We start from the raw sequence: 24,122 nt of genomic DNA, 5'->3' as shown, positions 1-24,122 counted from the left end.
ATCTAACACATTTATTTTCTCCATAAGGCATATCACAGCCTTTTTGTGCTTAGGAACACAAGACAGCATGTTAGAGACACATCTGGAGACTATTTCAAATAGTAAAATCATCAACAAGAAGCTGAAAAAAAGTCATAAAATAGACAGCCAAAGCACACTCATTGATAGTATCGGAGCCAAAACCAAAATGCAGAGTACAACCTTGTTTAACTGCAGTCAGGAAATATGCACATCAGGTGACTGAAATGCTTGCTGCATTGCATATGGCTGCAAGTGACTGAAAAAGTGCCGTGGTATTAATTTGGGGGTGCACAAACAAATTTTAGCAAATGGGAGAATTTGCAAATATGGAATATGCAAATAATGAGGCTCAATTGTATTTTGTATCCTGTCTCTTACTACATAGCTTTCATAATAATGACTTTTAATGACTACCTTCTAGCCTATGAGTAGTTCCACCAAACTTTATTATCTCATTCTTAGATTGTTGCACCCTTAGCTCTCTTGAGTTAGGAGCCTGGAGTTGGAAGTGACAGACAACCCTTCATAAACAGATCAACAAAAAGAAAATCTCTTAATTTACAGAAACTGAAAAGCCCAGAAATACCTCCTGCTGTCTTCAAACATAGTGAACTTGAAAGTTCAAGCAATGCCACTGTAACTGTTTTCTATCACTTGTCTCTTCCCTCTCCTGTGTAGCTTCTGTCTTAGGCTTCTCATGGTAGATGATGGCAGCAGTTCCAGACCCTAGTCTCTCCACTTTACATAAAGCATGGAAGAGAGATGGCCCTTCCCAGAAATCCTACTAAAATTCTTATTGCATATTTTCGGCTATGATTAAGTCATATGCCCGCTTCTGAGGCAATCACTGTGGGAATTAGGTGTTCTGATCACCTAAGCGTGGGTCATGTGCAGTATCTCTAGAGTTATGGAAGGTGTGGTCCCCAGGCCACATAAATTCAGAAGGGGAAGGTAAGCAGATGGTGAATGGGTGCTGGGAAGCAAAGCAGGAGAGATCCACGAAAAGAGGATTATTTTTCACTTTTTTTTTTTTTTTTTTTTTTTTTTGAGACGGAGTCTCGCTCTGTCGCCCAGACTGGAGTGCAGCGGGTGCGAACTCAGCTCACTGCAAGCTCCGCCTCCCGGGTTCACGCCATTCTCCCGCCTCTGCCTCCCCAGTAGCTGGGACTACAGGCGCCGGCCACCACGCCCGGCTAATTTTGGTTTCGTAGAGATGGGGTTTCACCGTGTTAGCCAGGATGGCCTCGATCTCCTGACCTCGTGATCCGCCCACCTCGGCCTTCCAAAGTGCTGGGATTACAGGAGTGAGCTACCGCACCCGGCCTTTTTTCACTCTTAAAAGTAACACTACTGGCAGGTCGCAGTGGCTCACATCTGTAATCCCAGCACTTTGGAAGGCCGAGGTGGGCAGATCACCTGAGGTCAGGAGTTCGAGACCAGCCTGGTCAACATGGTGAAAGCCTGTCTCTATTTAAAACACAAAAAATTAGCCGGGCGTGGTGGTGGGCACCTGTAATCCCAGCTACTCGAGCGGCTGAGGCAGGAGAATTGCTTGAAGCCAGGAGGTGGAGGCTGCCCTGAGCCCAGATCATGCCACTGCACTCCAGCCTGGGAAGCAGAGTGAAACTCTGTCTCAAAAGAAAAAAAAAAAGTAACACTACTATGTTCATCTTTCTGCAAATAACCCCAAACATAATTTTAGTAATAAAATCCCAATTTCAAATACTATTATAAAATATTGAGACTGGGAGAGCCCAAGGGCTTCCTCTAATCCATCTACCAATCCAGTGAGGAATTCCCCTACACAATTTTCCTAGCTAAGAGTTTCCAGATTTGTTTGGAAATCTTCAAAGACTGTAAAATCCACCTTCTGACTGTAGTTCACCCTGGTGCAACAAGACAATCCTTTGCATAAATTCTGTTGCCATTGTGTCCTCAAGGCTTCTTTTCTTCAGGACAAATGTGCAAGTTTTCAATCTTTCCGCAAATGCTATTTCAGGCTCCCTACCATCCTTGGAATAGTTTTTATTTAACTCATATTCCTTTTAAAAGGTGAGGCCCCAGATATTTTGGTAATTAAAGTGGACCCTCAAGCTGGTAAGAACATTTCATGTACACGCTCTCCAACAAAGAACTGAGTGCAGCTATTTCAGTTTCCCAACTGGATCCTGGATTCCTATTTAGTGGGCTCAGTTTCCTGCTAGAATGCTCTCACCATCATCTCCACCTGAATAAACCCTACCCATCCTTCAAGACCTGTCTCATTCGTCTCTCTCCTCCAGCAAGTCTTTTCTAGTTAAATCGAACTGGGTCTCTCTCACCTTTTAAAGGCCTATCTGGTTTGTTGTTAATGCTGTTGTTTATTGTTTGTGTGCTTGTTTTGTCCCTCTCTTGTGGAATATACCATATATTATTGTCTTCAGCAATCTTATCTCTTATACCAGACTGTAAGATTCTCTTCTGAGGATGCTTGTATTTTATTTTTCCTACCCGTGCCTAAAACTGCTGGGTGTTTAATGGGTATCATCTTCTAAAAGGAACTATGAGCATAGCCTAAGGCTGTGCTAATAGACATTCAGTAATGTAGGAGTTGATTAGTTCTACCATAACTCTGCCTTACCTTATTATTAACACTGTCTTTCTCCAAGCAGTGGACTGAGCCCTTCCTTCAGAAGAGAATCCCATTTTATTGATCCCATTTTATTAGATTTCATAATTTTGCAAATTCTAGCTGCAGTTTTCCTGATAAATTTACAAGTTCCTGTTTGTAAAATGCAAGATTCATGAAAAAAGATATTGGGTAGATTTTATTCACCACTTCATCTACCATACTTAGAACAATGCCTGATACACAGTAAATTTGCAAAAAAAATTGTTGAATTAATTGTATTTATAATTGGAACTTATAAACCTACTCTTTTATATTTATACTTGATCATGTGCTCTCCCTTAAATGTTTTATGCACCTTATGTATCAAACTCTAGATGCAAACACTTTTTTTTAGAGACTTACATAGAATAATAATGTACTTATAATAAAATGTGCTATACTATTCAAATATAGAAATAATGGTAATTAATTGCTAATGTCTTCATTTGCAAGAAACTAGATTATTTTAAAAAAGGACACCTTTGCATATATAATATATAACTTTGTAAAAGTTTCAGGCATTTAAGTTTTGATATTTTCTTCCTTCTTTCTCTACCTATTTATATAAACTTTTAAGGTGCATAATGAGAAAAGATGAAGTAGGTGTTTCATCTGTAACATTTAGTACCACACAAATGTGAGTGCTCCACTCACTTTGTAGATGAGTTACTGCATATTCAAAGACATATTGTAACTTGCTCAAGGTCACACAGCTAGGGTGTGACAGAATCAAATATTTAAGCCTGAACCAAGATCTCTCTGACTACAAAACGTAGGCCATGTCCCCTCTGACACACACCTCTTAATGTTGCCAGGACTTCAGCCTTTTTATGGGGACTTTATACAAGTTAAGACATTAATGGACATGGTTTAAGGCTGCTTTATCTCTTCTTACTATATATTTTTGAGGTTGAGTAAATATGCATAGACTAAAATGTAGACGTCTTATCAAAGTCCAAATAATATTATCAGAAAATTACTGACATTTTTTAAAAAGTTACATAAAACATAAAAGTTCTGATTAGTCTATTGTTTAGAATTCATTGTCAAAAGGCAAAATTACATTTTAAAAGCTCTGCTTCACAGGCAAGATTATACAAAAATTTTTGAATCCCACATTTTTAGCAGTTTTAAAAGAATACTGGAAAACAGATTAGTTGGCTCGTTGGTAAATTTCAGAAAGCTCTCTCAATTCCATCTATATAAACATCTGAATAGTTTAAAACAAATGGATCCCAAAGGAAGATTCAAATCAAACCTCACTAAACTTGTCATCTGTTTTTTGTACATCTTTTGTCACAACACAGCACACAATTTCTTTTCCATGGGCAACATATGGATGCTCATTTTCTTCCACTTCCTTCCACATTTAACCACTATGATAACAGTCATTAGAGGCTCATTATGGTACTCCACGCTTCGCAGTCCCACAGTTCAGGAGGCTACATACACAACCCTGTAATTTACCTAAGCTCTCAGTTCTGGTCAAGAGAGATACAGCAAAATGAGATTTAAGAATGTTTATTAAGGTGGACAGTTTAGGCTCTGACACCAGAGTGTATCATTAATTGAATGGTTAGCATTACCTTCACTGACATAACATTCAGCATTGAAAAAAATGGTTCTATTACTAGCTTGGTTGGTGCATCTCAACTTACTGAGATATATACATGAAAGTAGTGTAATGTGCCAGGAGTCCACCAACTCAGCTCTGCAGCAACATACCCTCAGTGGGCTAGTTTATGGGCATCTCAGTGTGCTTCCATAATTTTTCAGTGATTTTAAATAATTACGACAATTTCATTTTAGTAAAAAGAGGTCATTTTCTCCATTTCAGAACTTCAATCCATCTTATGGACCCTGCTTCCCTGGCTGCTGGAGGTCCTTTATGAGACTTGGTTGCAATTTCTAAGCCCTATAGCTCTTTGTCTCATGTTAGTGTAGGCCGCTTGCAGTCTTATGTATCCTCTGTGGCCTCCCAACTCAGGCCCTTCACGCTCAAGCAGGCTCTATGCTTTCTTCCCCTTGAAAAAGAAAACTAAGGAAGGCACCCTTCTCCCTCTGTCAGCCTAACTGTGCTACCCTATGCTCTCTCCCCAGTACTTTTTGTTGGGATTCACTCAGGATGGTGGCAGAAATATTAAAGGGAAATATTAGGAAAAGTTATAGGGAATGGTCACAAACCTTTTTGGAAGGCCGAAAGGTTCCATAGCTTGTAATAATTGAACAGGCTGAAGGCAGCTGGTTCTTACCTTAGAGCATTAGGTCGTAGGGTAAATACTAGGGACAATAGAGGCTTCCCAGTTAAGTCTGTTTACCCTACCTCCATTAACTAACCTTTAAGCCAGATGGCCCTCTCACGGGGGTTGACCAGGGATATTGCCCCTTAAACCATTATTTACTTTAAACTGTGGTACCTGAGCTCTAATCATTCATAGAACTATTCTCTTAACCATGTTAATTATCCACAAGTGTGTTAACTCAGAACTTCTGTTGTTAATTGTATACTAAATAAATGCCTGGAGTGCAAACTACTCAGGGCTGGTCGGCAGTCAGTAGTAACAAACCTCTCTTGGTGGGCAGGCAGTCGGACGCTCAGCAGGACTGGCAAAACAGAATATCTGTGTGTCAGTGTACGTTTTATTCATCTGTCGTTTGGGTCAGGGTCTGCGGGGCAGATCCCCGCAGCTAATGCCCTCTTGTGAGCAGCAATACCTCACTTTTTATCAGCCTCTGGCTGCAGAAGAGCAGGACCACAATCCTGGAGGCTCAGCAAACATCCCATCAATGGTGGAAAATGTTTCCTCTTCGTCCCACATGGAGTTTACAGATGATGGGTTTCCAACTTCCAGAAGAGGAACCAGCTGAAGAGAACATCCCACTCCCCGCTCCCCACCACAAAAAAAAGGTATCCTCCTCCTCACCCCCTGCATTGGTTTTCTATTGCTGCTCTGACAAAATTAATACAAACTTAGAGCCTTAAAGCAACACGAATGTGTTATAGTTCTGGAGGTGAAAAGACTGAAACGGGTCTCATGGGGCTGAAACGAAGGTGTCAGCAGAGCCATGTTCCTTCTGAAGACTCTAGGGGGGAATCGGATTCTTGATGTTTCCAGTTTCTAAAGGCTGTCTGTATTCCTGGCTGATGGCCCTGCATCAGTCAGACCTAGGCTTCCGTTGCCACATCTCTGATGATCTCTTCTGCCTCTCTGATATAAAGACCTTTGTGATTATATTAGGCCTACCCAGATAATCCAGGATAATCCCCCTCTCAAGATTCTTGACTTAACATCTGCAATGTCACTTTTGCCATGCAAGGCAATATATTCACAAGTTCTGGGAATTAGTACATGGACATGTTGGGCAGGGGGTCGTAATTCTGCTTCACACTCCTGTGCTCCCCCTTGTATCAAAGGCCATCCGACCAATTTGGACTCTAGTCCAGAACCTCAGGCAACTAGAGTTCTTATACCAATAATCAGACCTCTCCAACTCAGCCTTGGAGACTTGCCTAGGTCACTGTGGCATCCTGCTCCAGGGTGACCCCCAGTGATCCTTACCCCTGCATGCCTTTGTGTGTATCCCTGCCTTTCTGTGTGGGTTTTCCTTCATTGAATCAGAGTATCTGTGTAACTAGTAGGATACAAGAATTGCCACTGCTCTCTTGGTCTTATGCTAGCTCTAGGGGAAACCCAGAGGACACTTGAGGAGCCCTGTGGGAGGCCCACATGGAAGGGAACTGAGGCCTCCTACCAACAGTCAGCACCATTTTGCCAGCCATATAAATGAGACACCTTTGATGTAGATCCTGCAGCCCCAGTCAAGACTTCAGATGCTGCAGCCCCAACTGAAATCTCAAAATCATGAGAAATACTGATCTAGAAACTACCCAGGTGAGCCACTCCAGGATTCTTGACCCACAAACACTGAGATGAATATTTATAGTTTTAAGCCACTAGGTTTTGGATTATTTGTTATGCAGCAATAGATAACATGGTCATTCTCTCCACTGTAATCTCAGATCATCAGAGTCAACTCCTCAGCTCAGGAGAAAAGCCCAACCAGTACTGAACTTTGTTCTATTACAGGTGATAATGCCATAGCATTTTTATTATGTCAAAATGCTTTCCTTCTGTTTGCTCTGCCACCTCCATCATAATTACGGAATTAAAAAGAACCAATCAGATGCATGTATTTTGCTCACTCTTTTTTATACTTCAGCAGTAAACAACTGGCCTTTGGAGACAGTGAACTTGACCCTTTGCCAGTGCATAATGGCAACTACAGTATATATGATTTTGGAGGCCTGGAGATTTGCTTGCTGGAGGTACACAGGTCTCCACAGTCTGCATGACCAAGTGGTCACAACTCTCTACCATATTCATACTCTTAAGTGGAGCCTCCCAAAAACAGGTACCTTGCAAAATGAAGAAGATGGGGTGGAGGGACACAGTGCTACAGCACTTCCCTTTATCTTTGCCAGGCCTTAATATTTGTTGTTTCCAATACAGAAGGTTAGCTAAGAAGGTCAGTTAAACCACTGATTTGTGATTTCTTAAAGTAAGGTATGAGGCGCTCTTGGTATATGATACAGCGTTCTTTGTTGTATGAGGCTGTTCTCTTTACTGTGGGATGATAAGCATCCCCGACCCTACATAGTACACATCAGGCTCCTGCACACACACACACACACACACACACACACACACACACATATCCAAACATCCTTTTAGAAGAGTGACGTTGCCCACACTTGAGAACTATTGATAAAATGTGGACTATAGTTCTTGTTACCCAAGATTGCTAGGCTGCAAGGTACATTCATTTATTTAAAAAATATTTATTATTTGCCAGGCACCGTTCTAGGCAGACACTAGGGATCATTTGATAAGCAAAACAAATAGATCACTTTCATTGAGCTTATATTGAAAAGATGAAGAGAGACAATAAATAAAAATAATCAAGATTGAGAATTGATATAAATGCTTTGAAGGAGGAGAATATATGTTACTATTGGCTAGAATCATAGGTAGATTTGAACTAATTTGGATGATTAAAAAAAACTTACCTGAAGAAGACAGAGCTAAATAAGGAGGAAAGGAAAGAGAATCCTGAGAAGAGGAAACAGCCTGGGCAACAGCCCCAATGTGTGAGGGACTGTGGCCTAGATAAGAGGCAAACAAAACACAGCTGCTGTGACTGAAGGGGGAAAAACAAGGGAGAGAAGAATGTAAGATGAGAATGGAGAAGTATGTAGGGCTTGACAATAGCATGGATTTGCGGTTATGTCCTAAAAGCAAAAAAATGCATGTAAAGCTAGGAGAATGTGGGGTGTCATTAGAAAAGAAGGAAAGAGAATGTTTTTATGTGGAAAAGAGTTAACTGCATCACTGCTGCTAAGGAGTCAAGTCAGATGATGCACTGGCCAAAGTGACTCACCTCTAAAAAGAATACAAAGGGAGTGACACTGTATGACTTCCAGCAGCAGATTATAAAGGAAGGTCCCAAGAGAAAAGCTGTGCAAGAAATCATTCTGTAAGGAAGCCAAGGAACTGCCTAGGAAGCCCACAGGTAGCTGTTCTAGCAACCGATCCAACTGAGGTCTCAGCCCACAGCCAACACCAACCTCCAGAGGCAGGAAGGAATGGGTCTTTGGGTGATTCTAGCCCTCAGCCTTGGAGCTTCTGCAGCAGCAGCTAAGTGGAGAAGAGAAAAACTTTATCTATAAATCTTTTTTCAAACTACAGATATATGAAGAAAATAAATGTTGACATTGTTTTAAGCCACTGAAGTTATGGGCAGTTTATGCAGCAGTAGATAACTAGAACACATATATTCCATATGGCATAGCCACATGGAAGGAGTCATCTGACCAACATCAGACTGTACATTTGAGACAGGAAATTTTATTGTCTTATGCCACTGATGTTTAGACTTCTGTATGTTGTGGAAGTTTGCATTAACTACCTTGACTGGTACAGACGGAAACTGGAAAACAGCAACAGGGCTTAGCAACATAGTCACTGGTGAGCTTAGGGAGAGTTATTTCAGTGGAGAGATGAATTAGGAAGCCAGAGGATGAGGAAATTAAGACAGGATTCTGGACAACTATTTCTGGTAATTTGGTTGTGGAGAGTAGAAGGGAAATAGAGTGGAATTGGGTGGGGATCAAGAATCTAGTGAAGCTTTCAGGGTTTTCTTGTATATCTAAACAGGAAAGAATTGGTCTGGTTAAAGCCAATGGGAAGAGCCTGCTGAGAGAGAGGGGTTGAAAGGAAAAGAGAGTAATGGGATTCCTGTAAGGCTTGAAGGGATGGGGAGCAGGAATTAATCTTACATAGATGACACAAATTTTCATTTCTATTGAAGAAAGAGGAACAGACAGGTACATATATGGGTAGGTTCATATGTTTCGTGTTAAAATATGAGACTTATTTTTCTCTATAAAATAAGAGCAAGTTTATCTGTTGCGAGTGAGATGGAGAAAAGTGTACAAATTTTAAGGACTGAAGACAAGGAAGGGGAGAAACACAGTTTCCTGCACCTACAATTATGACAATTTTTCTCCCTGGCACAATTCTAAAACCAGGGCATCTGAGTTCACCTGAATGAACTCTGAATTGTTCACTTTTCCCAATAGGAGAAAACTTTCTCCTTCATTCACACCTCTATCCCAGCCTCAAATTATCTAAATCTCCCATGTCAAAATCCTTCACAGGCTACAAACCACTTCCCCTCCCACAAACGTCAGTGTGCACACCCTTTAAATCCAGGACAGGCAGCCTTCACAGACCTTCAGCCGACAATGTTTGCCTGAAGTTTCTGACAACAAGGAAACACTTCTATATGATTTTTGTACATATCTATCTCTTTGTTAGAGTATAAAATTCTTTTTTTAACTTTTATTTTAGATTCAGAGGGTACATACGCAGGTTTGTTACCTGAGTAGACTTCCTGATGCTGAGGTTTGGAGTACAACTGATGCCGTCACTCAGGTACAGAGCAAAACAGGTATCACCCCTTTTTCATTTTGTGTCTTCCATGATTCCCAGTATTTAGTAGGCTCACAATTGCCTACTTGAAAATGTTCATTAGCTGCCTTTAAGCTATTAGATACTCAAAATACTAAAAATCCATTCTTTCAGTATTTCATTGAAATGTTACAACTATGTTTTATTCCCATCAATAGTCCCAAAGAGGCAGAAGAGGCATCAATAACAGATTGGCTACAAAAGCCATTCATGTTCTATTCATGAAAAGAGAGGCAATTTCTTTTCTGGTTGTGTAGTCAAAGCCAGTCCAGCTGAATAGTAAAGCAGATGAAAACAGGGACTCTGAAAACAAGGAGCTCTGGGTTGGAATCTCAGATACAAAATTACTATCTGTGTGTTTCTTCAAATATCTTATCCTCTGTTTTCTAATCTGTAAAATAGAGAAAACACTATATACATTTCAGGGTTACTGTGGGATATGGAAAAAAATGCATATGGTATCCAACAGCTAGTAGGGACTTATAAATCATAGCTATTAGTACTCATTCAACAAGCATCTAAATGAGAATCAATAGGACTCAAGTCAATGTGCAATCCAGTATTAAGGAAAAGATTCTCATCTGGGTATTTAATTATATTTGCCCCAAGGGCATAATAATTATGTAAAAACTTAGAAGTTAAAGAGAAATTATTTCTTTAAAACTTAAATGTATTTTGTAAACACCATATAAATAATGAAAAAACTGTGGGAAGAATTGCTAGTTCTGCCATTTGTGTTTGTATTCTCATGGTGATAAACCACACACTTGCTCTCTTTTGCACTGTAGATGTTTGTTTGATTCAAATTTATATTAGAGTTCTTGTTGAAGAAGCACTGCCCTAAGGCTTCTAGGAAAAAAATTGCTCAGGACCACAGCTCTGCAAGTTTTAAGACAGCCTCTGAGATAACCCTGGGCTATGTTATTCATTAAATTCACTCTGATCTTGATAGCCAGTGACTTGTGCAGGTTGGTAATCACCATGAAGATTGATGTCTTGGGGCACAGTGTTGCTAAATGCATTCATATTTTAAAAGTAGACAAAATGAAGTATGTACATTTATTACCAACTCTCAGTTAACTGAAGTAATTTGGGGTACAGAAAAACAGTCTATCCCAATTCTAACCCTACCCACTTGTGCTAATAAACTGAGCATCCTTAGGACTTGGTTTTTTAAAAACTAGACTCCTTTTTAGCTAGAAACAGTGATCATGTCAGTAGCAGCAAGCATCACTAGCTCCCAGATTGTGGTTTCAAAATATTCCTTCTCACTAGAAGGTTTCTTGGAGAACTGGGTATTCTAGGTCCAAGGCAGGAAATATATTAGAAAAGCCTGGAACGTCTTATGATTCCACATAGCAAGGAAGCTATCAAAGAAAATTAGGGTTGTATCCAAAGGATTCAGGAGCCAAATTAAAGAAGTCTGCACTGACCAAAGATGGGACTACTTGAATTTCAAAAAGAATAAGAAATGCAATGAATTTAAACCTATAACATGTTTAAATCCAAAAGTTCACAGTGGTGTTTTTAAAAAGAAGTAAACTAACTGATTAAAGGATAACAGGGAATTAACTACTGATTTTGAAAATTAGAAAATAATCAGCTTAAGGAGATTTTGGGCTGAGACAATGGGGTTTTCTAGATATACAATCATGTCATCTGCAAACAGGGACAATTTGACTTCCTCTTTTCCTAATTGAATACCCTTTATTTCCTTCTCCTGCCTAATTGCCCTGGCCAGAATTTCCAACACTATGTTGAATAGGAGTGGTGAGAGAGGGCATCCCTGTCTTGTGCCAGTTTTCAAAGGGAATGCTTCCAGTTTTTGCCCATTCAGTATGATATTGGCTGTGGGTTTGTCATAGATAGCTCTTGTTCTTTTGAGATACATCCCATCAATACCTAATTTATTGAGAGTTTTTAGCATGAAGGGTTGTGGAATTTTGTCAAAGGCCTTTTCTGCATCTATTCAGATAATCATGTGGTTTTTGTCTTTGGTTCTGTTTATATGCTGGATTACATTTATTTATTTGCATATATTGAACCAGCCTTGCATCCCAGGGATGAAGCCCACTTGATCATGGTGGATAAGCTTTTTGATGTGCTGCTGGATTCGGTTTGCCAGTATTTTGTTGAGGATTTTTGCATCAATGTTCATCAAGGATATTGGTCTAAAATTCTCTTTTTTGTTGTGTCTCTGCCCAGCTTTGGTATGAGGATTATGCTGGCCTCATAAAATGAGTTAGGGAGGATTCCCTCTTTTTCTATTGATTGGAATAGTTTCAGAAGGAATGGTACCAGTTCCTCCTTGTACCTCTGGTAGAATTCGGCTGTGAATCCATCTGGTCCTGAACTCTTTTTGGTTGGTAAGCTATTGATTATTGCCACAATTTCAGATCCTGTTATTGGTCTATTCAGAGATTCAACTTCTTCCTGGTTTAGTCTTAGGAGGGTATATGTGTCGAGGAATTTATCCATTTCTTCTAGATTTTCTAGTTTATTTGCGTAGAGGTGTTTGTAGTATTCTCTGATAGTAGTTTGTATTTCTGTGGGATCGGTGGTGACATCCCCTTTATCATTTTTTTTTGCGTCTATTTGATTCTTCTCTCTTTTCTTCTTAGTCTTGCTAGCAGTCTATCAATTTTGTTGATCCTTTCAAAAAACCAGCTCCTGGATTCATTAATTTTTTGAAGGGTTTTTTGTGTCTCTATTTCCTTCAGTTCTGCTCTGATTTTAGTTATTTCTTGCCTTCTGCTAGCTTTTGAATGTTTTTGCTCTTGCTTTTCTAGTTCTTTTAATTGTGATGTTAGGTTGTCAATTTTGGATCTTTCCTGCTTTCGCTTGTGGGCATTTAGTGCAAAGTCTCAGGATACAAAATCAATGTACAAAAATCACAAGGCATTCTTATACACCAATAACAGACAAACAGAGAGCCAAATCATGAGTGAACTCCCATTCACAATTGCTTCAAAGAGAATAAAATACCTAGGAATCCAACTTACAAGGGACGTGAAGGACCTCTTCAAGGAGAACTTCAAACCACTGCTCAATGAAATAAAAGAGGATACAAAGAAATGGAAGAACATTCCATGCCCATGGGTAGGAAGAATCAATATTGTGAAAATGGCCATACTACCCAAGGTAATTTATAGATTCAATGCCATCCCCATGAAGCTACCAATGACTTTCTTCACAGAATTGGAAAAAACTACTTTAAAGTTCATATAGAACCAAAAAAGAGCCTGCATCACCAAGTCAATCCTAAGCCAAAGGAATAAAGCTGGAGGCATCACGCTACCTGACTTCAAACTATACTACAAGGCTACAGTAACCAAAACAGCATGGTACTCGTACCAAAACAGCATGGTACTGGTACCAAAACAGAGATATAGATCAATGGAACAGAACAGAACCCTCAGAAATAACACCACATATCTACAACTATCTGATCTTTGACAAACCTGAGAAAAACAAGCAATGGGGAAAGGATTCCCTATTTAATAAATGGTGCTGGGAAAACTGGCTAGCCATATGTAGAAAGCTGAAACTGGATCCCTTCCTTACACCTTATACAAAAATTAATTCAAGATGGATTAAAGACTTAAACATTAAACCTAAAACCATAAAAACCCTAGAAGAAAACCCAGGCATTACCATTCAGGACATAGGCATGGGCAAGGACTTCATGTCTAAAACACCAAAAGCAATGGCAACAAAAGCCAAAATTGACAAATGGGATCTAATTAAACTAAAGAGCTTCTGCACAGCAAAAGAAACTACCATCAGAGTGAACAGGCAACCTACAAAATGGGAGAAAATTTTCGCAACCTACTCATCTGACAAAGGGCTAATATCCAGAATCTACAATGAACTCAAACAAATTTACAAGAAAAAAACAAACAACCCCATCAAAAAGTGGGCGAAGGACATGAACAGACACTTCTCAAAAGCAGACATTTATGCAGCCAAAAAACACATGAAAAAATGCTCACCATCACTGGCCATCAGAGAAATGCAAATCAAAACCACAGTGAGATACCATCTCACACCAGTTAGAATGATGATCATTAAAAAGTCAGGAAACAACAGGTGCTTGAGAGGATGTGGAGAAATAGGAACACTTTTACGCTGTTGGTAGGATGATAAACTAGTCCAACCATTGTGGAAGTCAGTGTGGCGATTCCTCAGGGACTAGAACTAGAAATACAATTTGACCCAGCCATCCCATTACTGGGTATATACCCAAAGGACTATAAATCATGCTGCTATAAAGACACATGCACACGTATGTTTATTGCAGCACTATTCACAATAGCAAAGACTTGGAACCAACCCAAATGTCCAACAATGATAGACTGGATTAAGAAAACGTGGCACATATACACCATGGAATACTATGCGGCCATAAGAAATGATGAGTTCATGTCCTTTGTAGGGACATGGATAAAATTGGAAATCATCATTCTCAGTAAACTATCACAAGTACAAAAAAACCAAACACTGCGTGTTCTCACTCATAGGTGGGAACTGAGCAATGAGAGCACATGGACGCAGGAAGGGGAACATCACACTCTGGGGACTGTTGTGGGGTGGGGGGAGGGGGGAGGGATAGCATTAGGAGATATACCTAATGCTAAATGACGAGTTAATGGGTGCAGCACACCTGCATGGCACATGTATACATATGTAACTAACCTGCACATTGTGCACATGTACCCTAAAACTTAAAGTATAATAATAATAAAATTAAAAAAAGAAAAAAAAAGAAAATTAGAAAATAATAGGAAAGAATCAAGAATTTATCATATATTTCTTGTATGAACTTTAACATTAGATAGCCTATACTAGAAGGCAGAAGTATCACTTTATGAAACTATTTCAGTAAATTTAAAAAAGAATTGCAACTTCCAATGAATTAATAGACCTAGGCCATGTGTATGGCTGCTAACATCACCGAAAGAGAAACAACTGGATCTTATGTGTTTCCTGCTGAGAGAACATAAAATCACCCACAGTTTTGCAACAGGTATTAAATATTAGTCTGATCAAGACTTTGGATCCAGCTACCAATTTCAGGATGTATCAAGGACATAGGAAAACAATGAGTATGAAATGTAAGTATAAGATCAGAAAAATTTAGACTCTGTGAAACTCTACATGTCACATTGTATGAGTTCTTCATAGATAAGGGATCAGCAAATAAAATTAATGGTGAGGGGTCCTAGAGACTAAAAGACAATTAAAAGACATATCAAAGTTTTTTTAAAAAGGGTCAAGCTAAAATATATTATGGAGGCATGCATATTGAGATAATAAAATTAATCTTAAAAACACTAGTATTAGCCGGGCGCGGTGGCGGGCGCCTGTAGTCCCAGCTACTCAGGAGGCTGAGGCAGGAGAACGGCCTGAACCTGGGAGGTGGATTTTGCAGTGAGCCGAGATCGCGCCACTGCACTCCAGCCTAGGCGATAGAGCAAGACTCCGTCTCAAAAAAAGAAAAAAAAACACTAGTGATTGCTCTAAAAGTCATGACAATGGTTATTTGGAAGGATGGGAGCAAGTTGCAATTAGAATGTGATACATAGGGGAGGACCTCTGGGGTGCTAGGAAAATGCTGCTTTTTGACGTGGTCGTTTGGTTGATAATAATCCACTATTCTGTATATTTTACCTGTGTGGTATTCTCAATGTTATTTTAGATTTTTTATCTTTTTTCCATACATATTCTGCTTATGTGTCAATATATGTTTTATTTTAAAATAATGAAGTTGGGTTTTTTTCTTTTCAAAGAGAGAAAAAAATAACAGATATAAGTGATAAAGAAGGAGATAGTCTCTAACCCTGGGTCCTTGAGTTAGATACTCTCAAGAAATACACATTCTCTCTCAGGACTTTGCAGACTACATGCTATGTATTCAAATAAGAGACTGAGACTCAAACTTATCCCTCAGCTGAAGATAAACTTCTTGGACTGTCAAGCTACAGTATAAGAAACTCTGTAAGAATGGATTGGTGGCCAAATACATTCATTCTGAAAGATGAACACCTTTTATTTGCTTGTTTATTCATTCATTCACCCATTTTAGACATTGTTAGAATTCCCTGTGTGTTCTATGCACTAGAGATGTAAAGATTAAAACTCAACAATTTAAACAGACAGACAACAAAATCATGAGTTACACCACCATAATTAATGCACGCACACACACACACACGAGTCTAAGGAAACACAGAAAAGTTGTAATTTATTCAAATAAGGAAACAGGTCATGGAAGACATCTTAGAGAAAGTGATGCTTGAGTTTCACTTTTAAAACTGAGCACAAGGTAGTCCAGTGGCTGAGGAGGGAAAGAAATTCCAGACAGAGGAAACCTCTGGAGCAAACTCAAAAATATGTGAGAAATCATAGCGTAGTTGAGGAACTGTACCTAGTTCAATTTACCTGAAGGCCATTTGAAGATAGGGTGGTGGGAAAACTGAGGGAGTAGAAAAACTTAAGGGTGAATAAGGTTTTATAGATAGAAAAAAAAGCAATATGATGAAATGTCCAGTAGGTAGCAGGAGCTATTTGTTGGATGTATGCAGGATGGCTGGAAGAAAGAATGGATTATGAACGGGTAGATGAGAAGGCCTTGCTAGGAAGTTCGAATGTCATCCTGACAGTTTTCTACAGCTATAAAAAGATTTTAAGCAGAGGGATATGAGCAGATTTGCATTTTAAGAAATACCTCTTTGGCAGATGTGTGGAATGCAGAGTGGAATTGGAAGGTTGCGGAGAAGAGCAAAAGTTCAAGTGAGAAAAAAATCCTAACCTGAACTAAGGCAATGGCGGTGACGATGCAAACGATAGAATGAATTTGAGATCAATGATAGATTCAAGAGAGGTGACTTTTGATATAGGAAAAGTTGATTTAAAAGGCAGATTTATTTTCAGGTTTCTGCCTTGGAGTGATGTCATTAACATGATCTTAAAATTATAAAGCAGAGTGAAAAAAATAACTGATAACGATTATCTCCTTGGCCAAACTTTGTTCAGGTTCTTCTCAGCCTTCTTTTTGACTAGGCCCAACTTTAGGCTACGTGTCCTTCCTTGTGAAGTTCAGCCCCTAATGTTTCTCTAAGTAACTTCCCATCCACTGACTCCCACACTGCTCCTGGGCTATAATTTGCTATAATTTCCCACTTCTCCTTGTTGTATTAGAAGTTGAGCCTAATCTCTCCTACTACACAACCACACTTTAGTAGCCACCGGAATAAAGCCTACCTTAGCATCTTTAACAAGTGTCGTGAATAATTTTTTCTTTAACAAATCAAGAAAGGTGACACTTTTAATACGGGGAAGGTTGATTAAAAAGGCAGATTTATTTTCAGGTATCTGCCTTGAAATGGTGTCATTAACATGATCTTGAAACTGTAAAAACAGAGTGAGAAAAAATATTTAAAGTATATGCAGGACCAATCAGATCACAATTAAATATATCAGGAAGCAAAGAGAGAAAAAACTCCACTTCATGCAGAAAAGAAAATTGGCTGAAAATACTGTGAGGGGTTAGCCAATTCATCAGATATGAGAACTAGGTAATTCAGGAAAAGGCACTGCAAGATGACCCCATGTGGAGAGCATTAACATCAAAACTCAAAAGTTTGAACTGGCAGGTAGTAGCATAACAACAAAAAATTCACCTTCCATATTTACAATATAAGACATCACATCCAGGCAAACTGCTTTTTGATATTCAACCTCTGTCAGCTGAGAAGTTCATCATACAAATCACTTGGGGTGATAAGCTCAAAACTGTATGAGATGACATAATTATATTCTCAACTCCAGGAAGAGTTAAATGAAGTATCAAAATTATGAAGTCAATAAAATCTATAATACTAATTTTTAAAAATTTTTGTGGATACATAGTATGTGTATATACATATATATTCATATATGTGTGTATGCATAAATATATATGTGTGTATACATATATATTCATATGTGTGTATACATATATATTCATATGTGTGTATACATATATATTCATATATACATGTTTATATATAAATTCATATATATGTATAAATATGTGTGTGTGTATATATAGGATACATGATATGCTTTTTTATTTCTTTAAGACAGAGTCTCCCTCTGTCGCCCAGGCTGGAGTGCAGTGGCGCAACCTCCTCTCACGGCAACCTCTGCCTCCCGGGTTTAAGCGATTCTCCTGCCTCATTCTCCCCAGTAGCTGGGATTACAGGTGCCCACCACCGCGCCTGGCTAATTTTTGTATTTTTAATAGAGACAGAGTTTTGCCATGTTAGCCAGACTGGTCTCAAACTCCTGACCTCAGGTGATCTGCCCACCTCAGCCTCCCAAAGTGCTGGGATTACAGGCGTGAGCCACCGCACCCAGCCCATAATATGTTTTAATACAAGCATACAATGCGTAATAATCACATCAGGATAAATGCAGTATCCATCACGTTGAGTATTTATCCTTTGTGTTGCAAATAATCCAATTATACTCTTACAGTTATTTTTAAATGTACAATAAATTACTGTTGACGGTAGGCACACTGTTGTGCTATCAAATAGTAGATCTAATTCATTGTATCTAACTATACTTTTGTACCCGTTAGCAAACCCCTTTCTCCTCCCAACTACCCATTAGCCATCCGTACTCCATCCCCCCACTACCCCTCACAGCCTCTAGTAACCATCATTCTACTCTCTATCTCCACAAGTTCAATTGTTTTAATTTTTAGCTCCCACAAATAAGTAAGAACATGTGAAGTTTGTCTTTCTGTGCCTGGCTTATGTCACTTAACAAAATGTCCTTAAGTTTCATCCATGCTGTTGCAAAATACAGGATCTTATTCTTTTTTATGCTTGACTAGTACTCCATTGTGTATATATATCAATTTTCTTTATCCATTAATGTTGATAGACATTTAAGTTGCTTCCAAATCTTGGCTATTGTGAACAGTGCTTCAGTAAATGTAGGAGTGCAGATTCTTGTTAATATACTGATTTCCTTCCTTTGGGGTATATGTCTAGCAGTGGGGATTGCTGGAACATATGATACTTCAATTTTTAGGTTTTTAAGGAAACTCCAAACTGTTCTCCATAGTAGTTTTACTAGTTTACATTCCCAAAAACAGAGTATACATGTTGCCTTTTCTCCACATCCTCACCAGCATTTGTTATTGCCTGTCTTTTGGCTATAAGCCATTTTAACTGGGTGAGATGATGTTTCATTGTAGTTTTGATTTGCATTTCTCTGTTGACCAATGGTGTTGAGCACCTTTTCATATACCTGTTTGCCATTTGTATGTTTTCTTTTGAAAAATGTCTATTACAATCTTTTGCCCATTTTTTAATCTTGATTATTAGATTTACTTTCCTATTGAGTTGTTTGAGCTCCTTACATTCTGGTTATTAATCCCTTGTCAAATGGGTAGTTTGCAAATATTTTCCCCCATTCTGTGGGTTATGTCATCACTTTGTTGATTGTTTCCTTTGTTGTGCAGAAGCTTTTTAACTTGATGTAATCCCATTTGTCCATTTTTGCTTTGGTTTACTCAAGAAATCTTTGCCCCATTCAATGTTCTGTTTTCTTTTACTAGTTTTATAGCTTTAGGTCTTGCATTTAGGTCTTCGATCCATTTTGATTTTCTGTATGGCAAGAGATAGGGGTCTAGTCTCATTCTTCTTAGGGATACCCAGTTTTCCCATCATCTTTCCTCATTGCATGTTCTTAGCAGCTTTGAAAAAATGAGTTCACTGTAGATTTATGGATTTGCTTTTGGGTTCTCTATTCTGTTCCACTGATCTATGTGTCTGATTTTATGCCACTATCATGCTGTTTTGGTTACTATAGGTCTGTAGTATAATTTGAAGTCAGGTAGTGTGATTCCTTCAGTTCTGTTATTTTTGCTCAGGATAGTTTTGGCTATTTTGGGTCTTTTGTGGTTCCATATAAATTTTAGGATATTTTTTCTATTTCTGTGAAGAATGTCATTGGTATTTTGATAGAAATTGCATTGAATCTGTAAATTACATTGAGTAATGTGGATATTTTAATAATATTGATTTTTCCAATCAATGAACATGAAATATCTTTCCATTTTTTGTGTGCCTTCTTTAATTTCTTGCATCAATGTTTCATAGTCTTCATCTCAGAGATCTTTCACTTCTTTGATTAAGTTTATTCCTAGGTTTTTTTTGTAGCTATTATAAATTGGATTATTTCATTGATTTCCTTTTCAGATTGTTCACTGTTGGCATATAGGAATCCTACTAATTTTTGTATGTTGATTTCATATCCTGGAATTTTACTAAATTTGCTTATCATTTCTAATAGTTTTTTTCATTGAGACTTTAGGTTTTTCCAAATATAAGACTGTATAATCTGCAAACAAGGATAATTTGACTTCTTCCTTTTCAATATGGATGCCCTTTATTTATTTATCTTATCTCACTACTCTAGATTGGACTTCCAGTACTATGTTGAATAATAGTGGTGAAAGTGGGCATCTTTGTCCTTTTCCAGATCTCAGAGAAAAGACTTTCAGCTTTTCCTAGCTGTGGGTCTGTCATATATGGCTTTTATTGTACTGAGGTGTGTTTCTTCTATACCCAGTTTCTTGAGTTTTGTTTGTTTTTTTTTTTTTTTTTTTTACCATGAAGGGATATTGAATTTTATCAAATGCTTTTTCAGTATCGATTGAAATAATTATATGGTTTTTGTCCTTCATTCTGTTGATATGATGTATGGCATTGATGTGCATATGTTGAACCATACTTGCATCCCTAGGATAAATCGCACTTGGTCATGATGATGACCTTTTTAATGTGTGGTTGAATTTGGTTTGCTAGTATTTTGTTGAGCATTTTGCATCAGTGTTCATCAGGGATATTGGCCTGCAATTTTCTTTTTTAAATGTGTCTGTAGTTTCAATGTCAAAGTAATACAGGCCTTGTAGAATGAGTTTGGAAATATTCCCTTGTTTTCTATTTCCTGGAATAGTTTGAGTAGGATTGGTATTAGCTCTTTAAATATTTGGCATAATTCAGCATGAAGCCCTTAGATCCTGGGCTTTATTTTCCTGGAAGACTTTTTATTATGGCTTCAATTTCATTACTTGTTATTGGTCTGTTCAGGTTTTGGATTTCTTCATGGCTCAATCTTGGTGGGTTGCATGTGTCTAAGAATTTATCCATATCTTCTAGGTTTTTCAATTTAATGGCATATAGTTGCTTATAGTAACCTTGAATGATCCTTTGAATCCCTGTGTTATCAGTTGTAATGTTTCCTTTTTCATCTCTGATTTTATTTATTTGGATCTTTCTTTTCTTTGTCTGAAGGTGTGTCCATTTTGTTTATCTTTTCAAAATTCCAACTTTTAATTTCATTAATCTTTTGTAGTTTTATTTCAATTTTATTTTTTCTGCTCTAATTTTTTATTGCTTATTTTCTTCCACTAATTTTGAGTTTGGTTTGCTCCTGCTTTTCTAATTCTTCAAGTTGTATTATTAAGTTATTTATTTGAAGCTTTTTTTTTGACGTAAATGCTTATTGCTGTAAACTTTCCTCTTAGTCCTGCTTTTGCTGTACCCCATAGGTTTTGGTATGTTGTGTTTCCATTTTCATTTGTTTTAACACGTTTTTAAAATTTCCTATTAATTTATTTATTGACCCACTGGCCATTCAATAGAATATTATGTAATTTATGTATATTTGCATAGTTTCCAAAATTCCTTTTGTTATTATTTCCAGTTCTATTCCATTGTGATGACAGAAGACACTTGAAATAATTTCTATTTTTTTTGAATTTTTAAATACTTGTTTTTTGGCCTAATATATGGTTTATCCTTGAGGGTAATCCATGGGTTCAGGAGAAGAATGCATATTCTGTAGCTCTTGGATGAAATGTTACATAAATATCTATTAGGTCCACTTTGCCTGTAGTGCAGGTTAAGTCTGATTTTTTGTTTGGGGGTTGATTTTCTGTCTATTAAATGCTGACAATGGGATGTTGAAGTCTCCAGCTGTTATTGTATTGTGGTCTGTCTCTATCTTCAGCTCCAATAATATTTACTGTATGTATCTGGGTGCTCCAGTGTTGGGTGCATATATATTTACAATTGTTATAACTTTTTGCTAAATTGACCCTTTAATTATAAAATTATCTTATTTGACTATTTTTTTGAAGACTATTTTGTCTGCTATAAGCATAATTATTCTTGCTGATTTTGTTTTCTATTTGCATGGAATATCTTTTTCCATCCCTTTTAGTCTATGTGTGTCTTTATAGGTGAAGTGTGGTTTTTGTAGGCAACAGATTATTGGGTCTTATTTTTTAACCCATTGAGTCACTCTATGTCTTTTGATTGGAGACTTTAGTTCATTTACATTCACTGTTATTATTGATAAGTAAGGACTTACTCCTGTGATTTTGTTATTTGTTTTCTGGTTGTTTTGTCTTCTCTTCTTCCTTCCTTCCTGTCTTTCTTTTAGTGAAGGTGATTTTCTCTGGTGGTATGTTTTAATTTCTTTTTTTGTTTGTTTGGTTTTCATGTATCTGTTGTATGCTTTTTTTTTTAATTTGAGGTTACCATGAGGCTTGCAAATGATATCATATAACCCATTATTTTAAACTGATGATGACTTAACACTGATAGCATAAACAAGCAAACAAACTAGCAAACATCCAAAGAGAAAACTAGTAAAAACTCTATACTTTAACTCCATCTTCCCACTTGTTAACTTATTTCTTGTTTCTATTTACATCTTACTATACTGTCTATGTCTTGAAAAGTTATTGTCATTAGTTTCGATAGCTTCATTTTTTAGTCTTTCTACTCTAGATGTGAGTAGTTTACAAACCACAATTACAGTGTTATTATGTTCTGTTTTGCTGTGTATTTACTCTTACAAGTGAGTTTGGTACCATTAGATGATTTCTTATTGCTCATTAATGTCCTTTTCTTTCAGATTGAAGAATTCCCTTTAGCATTTATTGTAGGACAAGTCAGGTAATGAAATCCTTTCGCTTTTGTTTGTCTGGGAAAATCTTTATTCTTCCTTCATATTTGAGGGATATTTCCACTGGATAAACTATGTTAGAGTAAAAGTTTTTATCCTTCAGCACATTGAATATGTAATGCCACTCTCTCCTGGTCTATAAGGCTTCTACCGAGAAGTCTGCTGCCAATCATATTGGAGCTCCTTTCTATGTTATTTGTTTCCTTTCTCTTCCTGCTTTTATGATCCTTTCTTTATTCTTGACCTTTAGGAGTTCGATTATTAAATGCCTTGCTGTAGTCTTATTTGAGTTAAGTCTACTTGGTGTTCTATAACCTTCTTGTACTTAAATATTGACATCTTTCTCTAAGTTTGGGAAGTTCTCTGTTACTATCCTTTTGAATAAACTTTATACATCTGTCTCTCTTTTTTACCTCCCCTTAAAGGCCAATAACTCTTAGATTTGCCCTTTTGAGGTAATTTTCTTAATTTGTAAACATATTTCATTCTTTTTTATTTTTTCCTTTTGTCTTCTCTGACTGTGTATCTCAAATAGCCTGTCTTCAAGCTCACTAATTGTTTCTTCTGCTTGATCAATTCTGCTCTTAAAAGACTCTGATGCATTATTAGTATGTCAACTGCATTGTTCAACTCTGGAATTTCTTCCTGATTCCTTTTAATTATTTTAATCTGTTTGTTAAATTAATCTGATAGGACTGAATTCCTTCTCTGTGTCATCCTGAATTTCATTGAGTTTCCTCAACACAGCTATTTTGAATTCTCTGTCTCTCCATAATTGGTCACTGGTGCCTTATTAAGGTTTTCTGGGGAGGTCATGTTTTCCTGGATGGTCTTCATGCTTGTGGATGTCCATCAGTGTCTGGACATTTAAGAGTTAGCTATGAATTGTAGGCTTCACAGTCTGGGCTTGTTTGTATTTATCCTTCTTTTGAAGGCTTTCCAGTTATTTGAAGGCATTTGGGTGTTGCAATCTAAGGTTTGGGTTACTGCAGCTGTATCTATATTAGGGAGCACCCCAAGCCCAGCTGTGGCTCTTACAGACTCATAGAGGTATCAACATGGTGGTCTTGGATAAAATCCAGAGGAATTCTCTGGATTACCAGGCAGAGACTTTTGTTCTCTCCTAAGTAGAGTCTCTCTCTGTGTGTTGAGCTGCCTGAAGCTGGAGGAGAGGTGACACAAGCACCCCTGTGACCACCACCACTGGGACAGCGTTGGGTCAGATCTGAACCCAGCACAGCTCTGGGTCTCACCCAAGGTTTGCAGTAACCACTGCCTGGTTATCACTTATGTTCACTCATGGTCCTAGAGCTCTACAATCAGCATGTGGTAAAGCTGGGTAGGCTTATGTCCTTTCCTTCAGGACAGTTAGTTTCCCTGGGCCC

This window comes from Homo sapiens, chromosome 4 (assembly GCF_000001405.40).
Source record: "Homo sapiens chromosome 4, GRCh38.p14 Primary Assembly".
In the NCBI taxonomy this organism is placed as follows: domain Eukaryota; kingdom Metazoa; phylum Chordata; class Mammalia; order Primates; family Hominidae; genus Homo; species Homo sapiens.
This window is presented reverse-complemented; position numbering follows the sequence as displayed.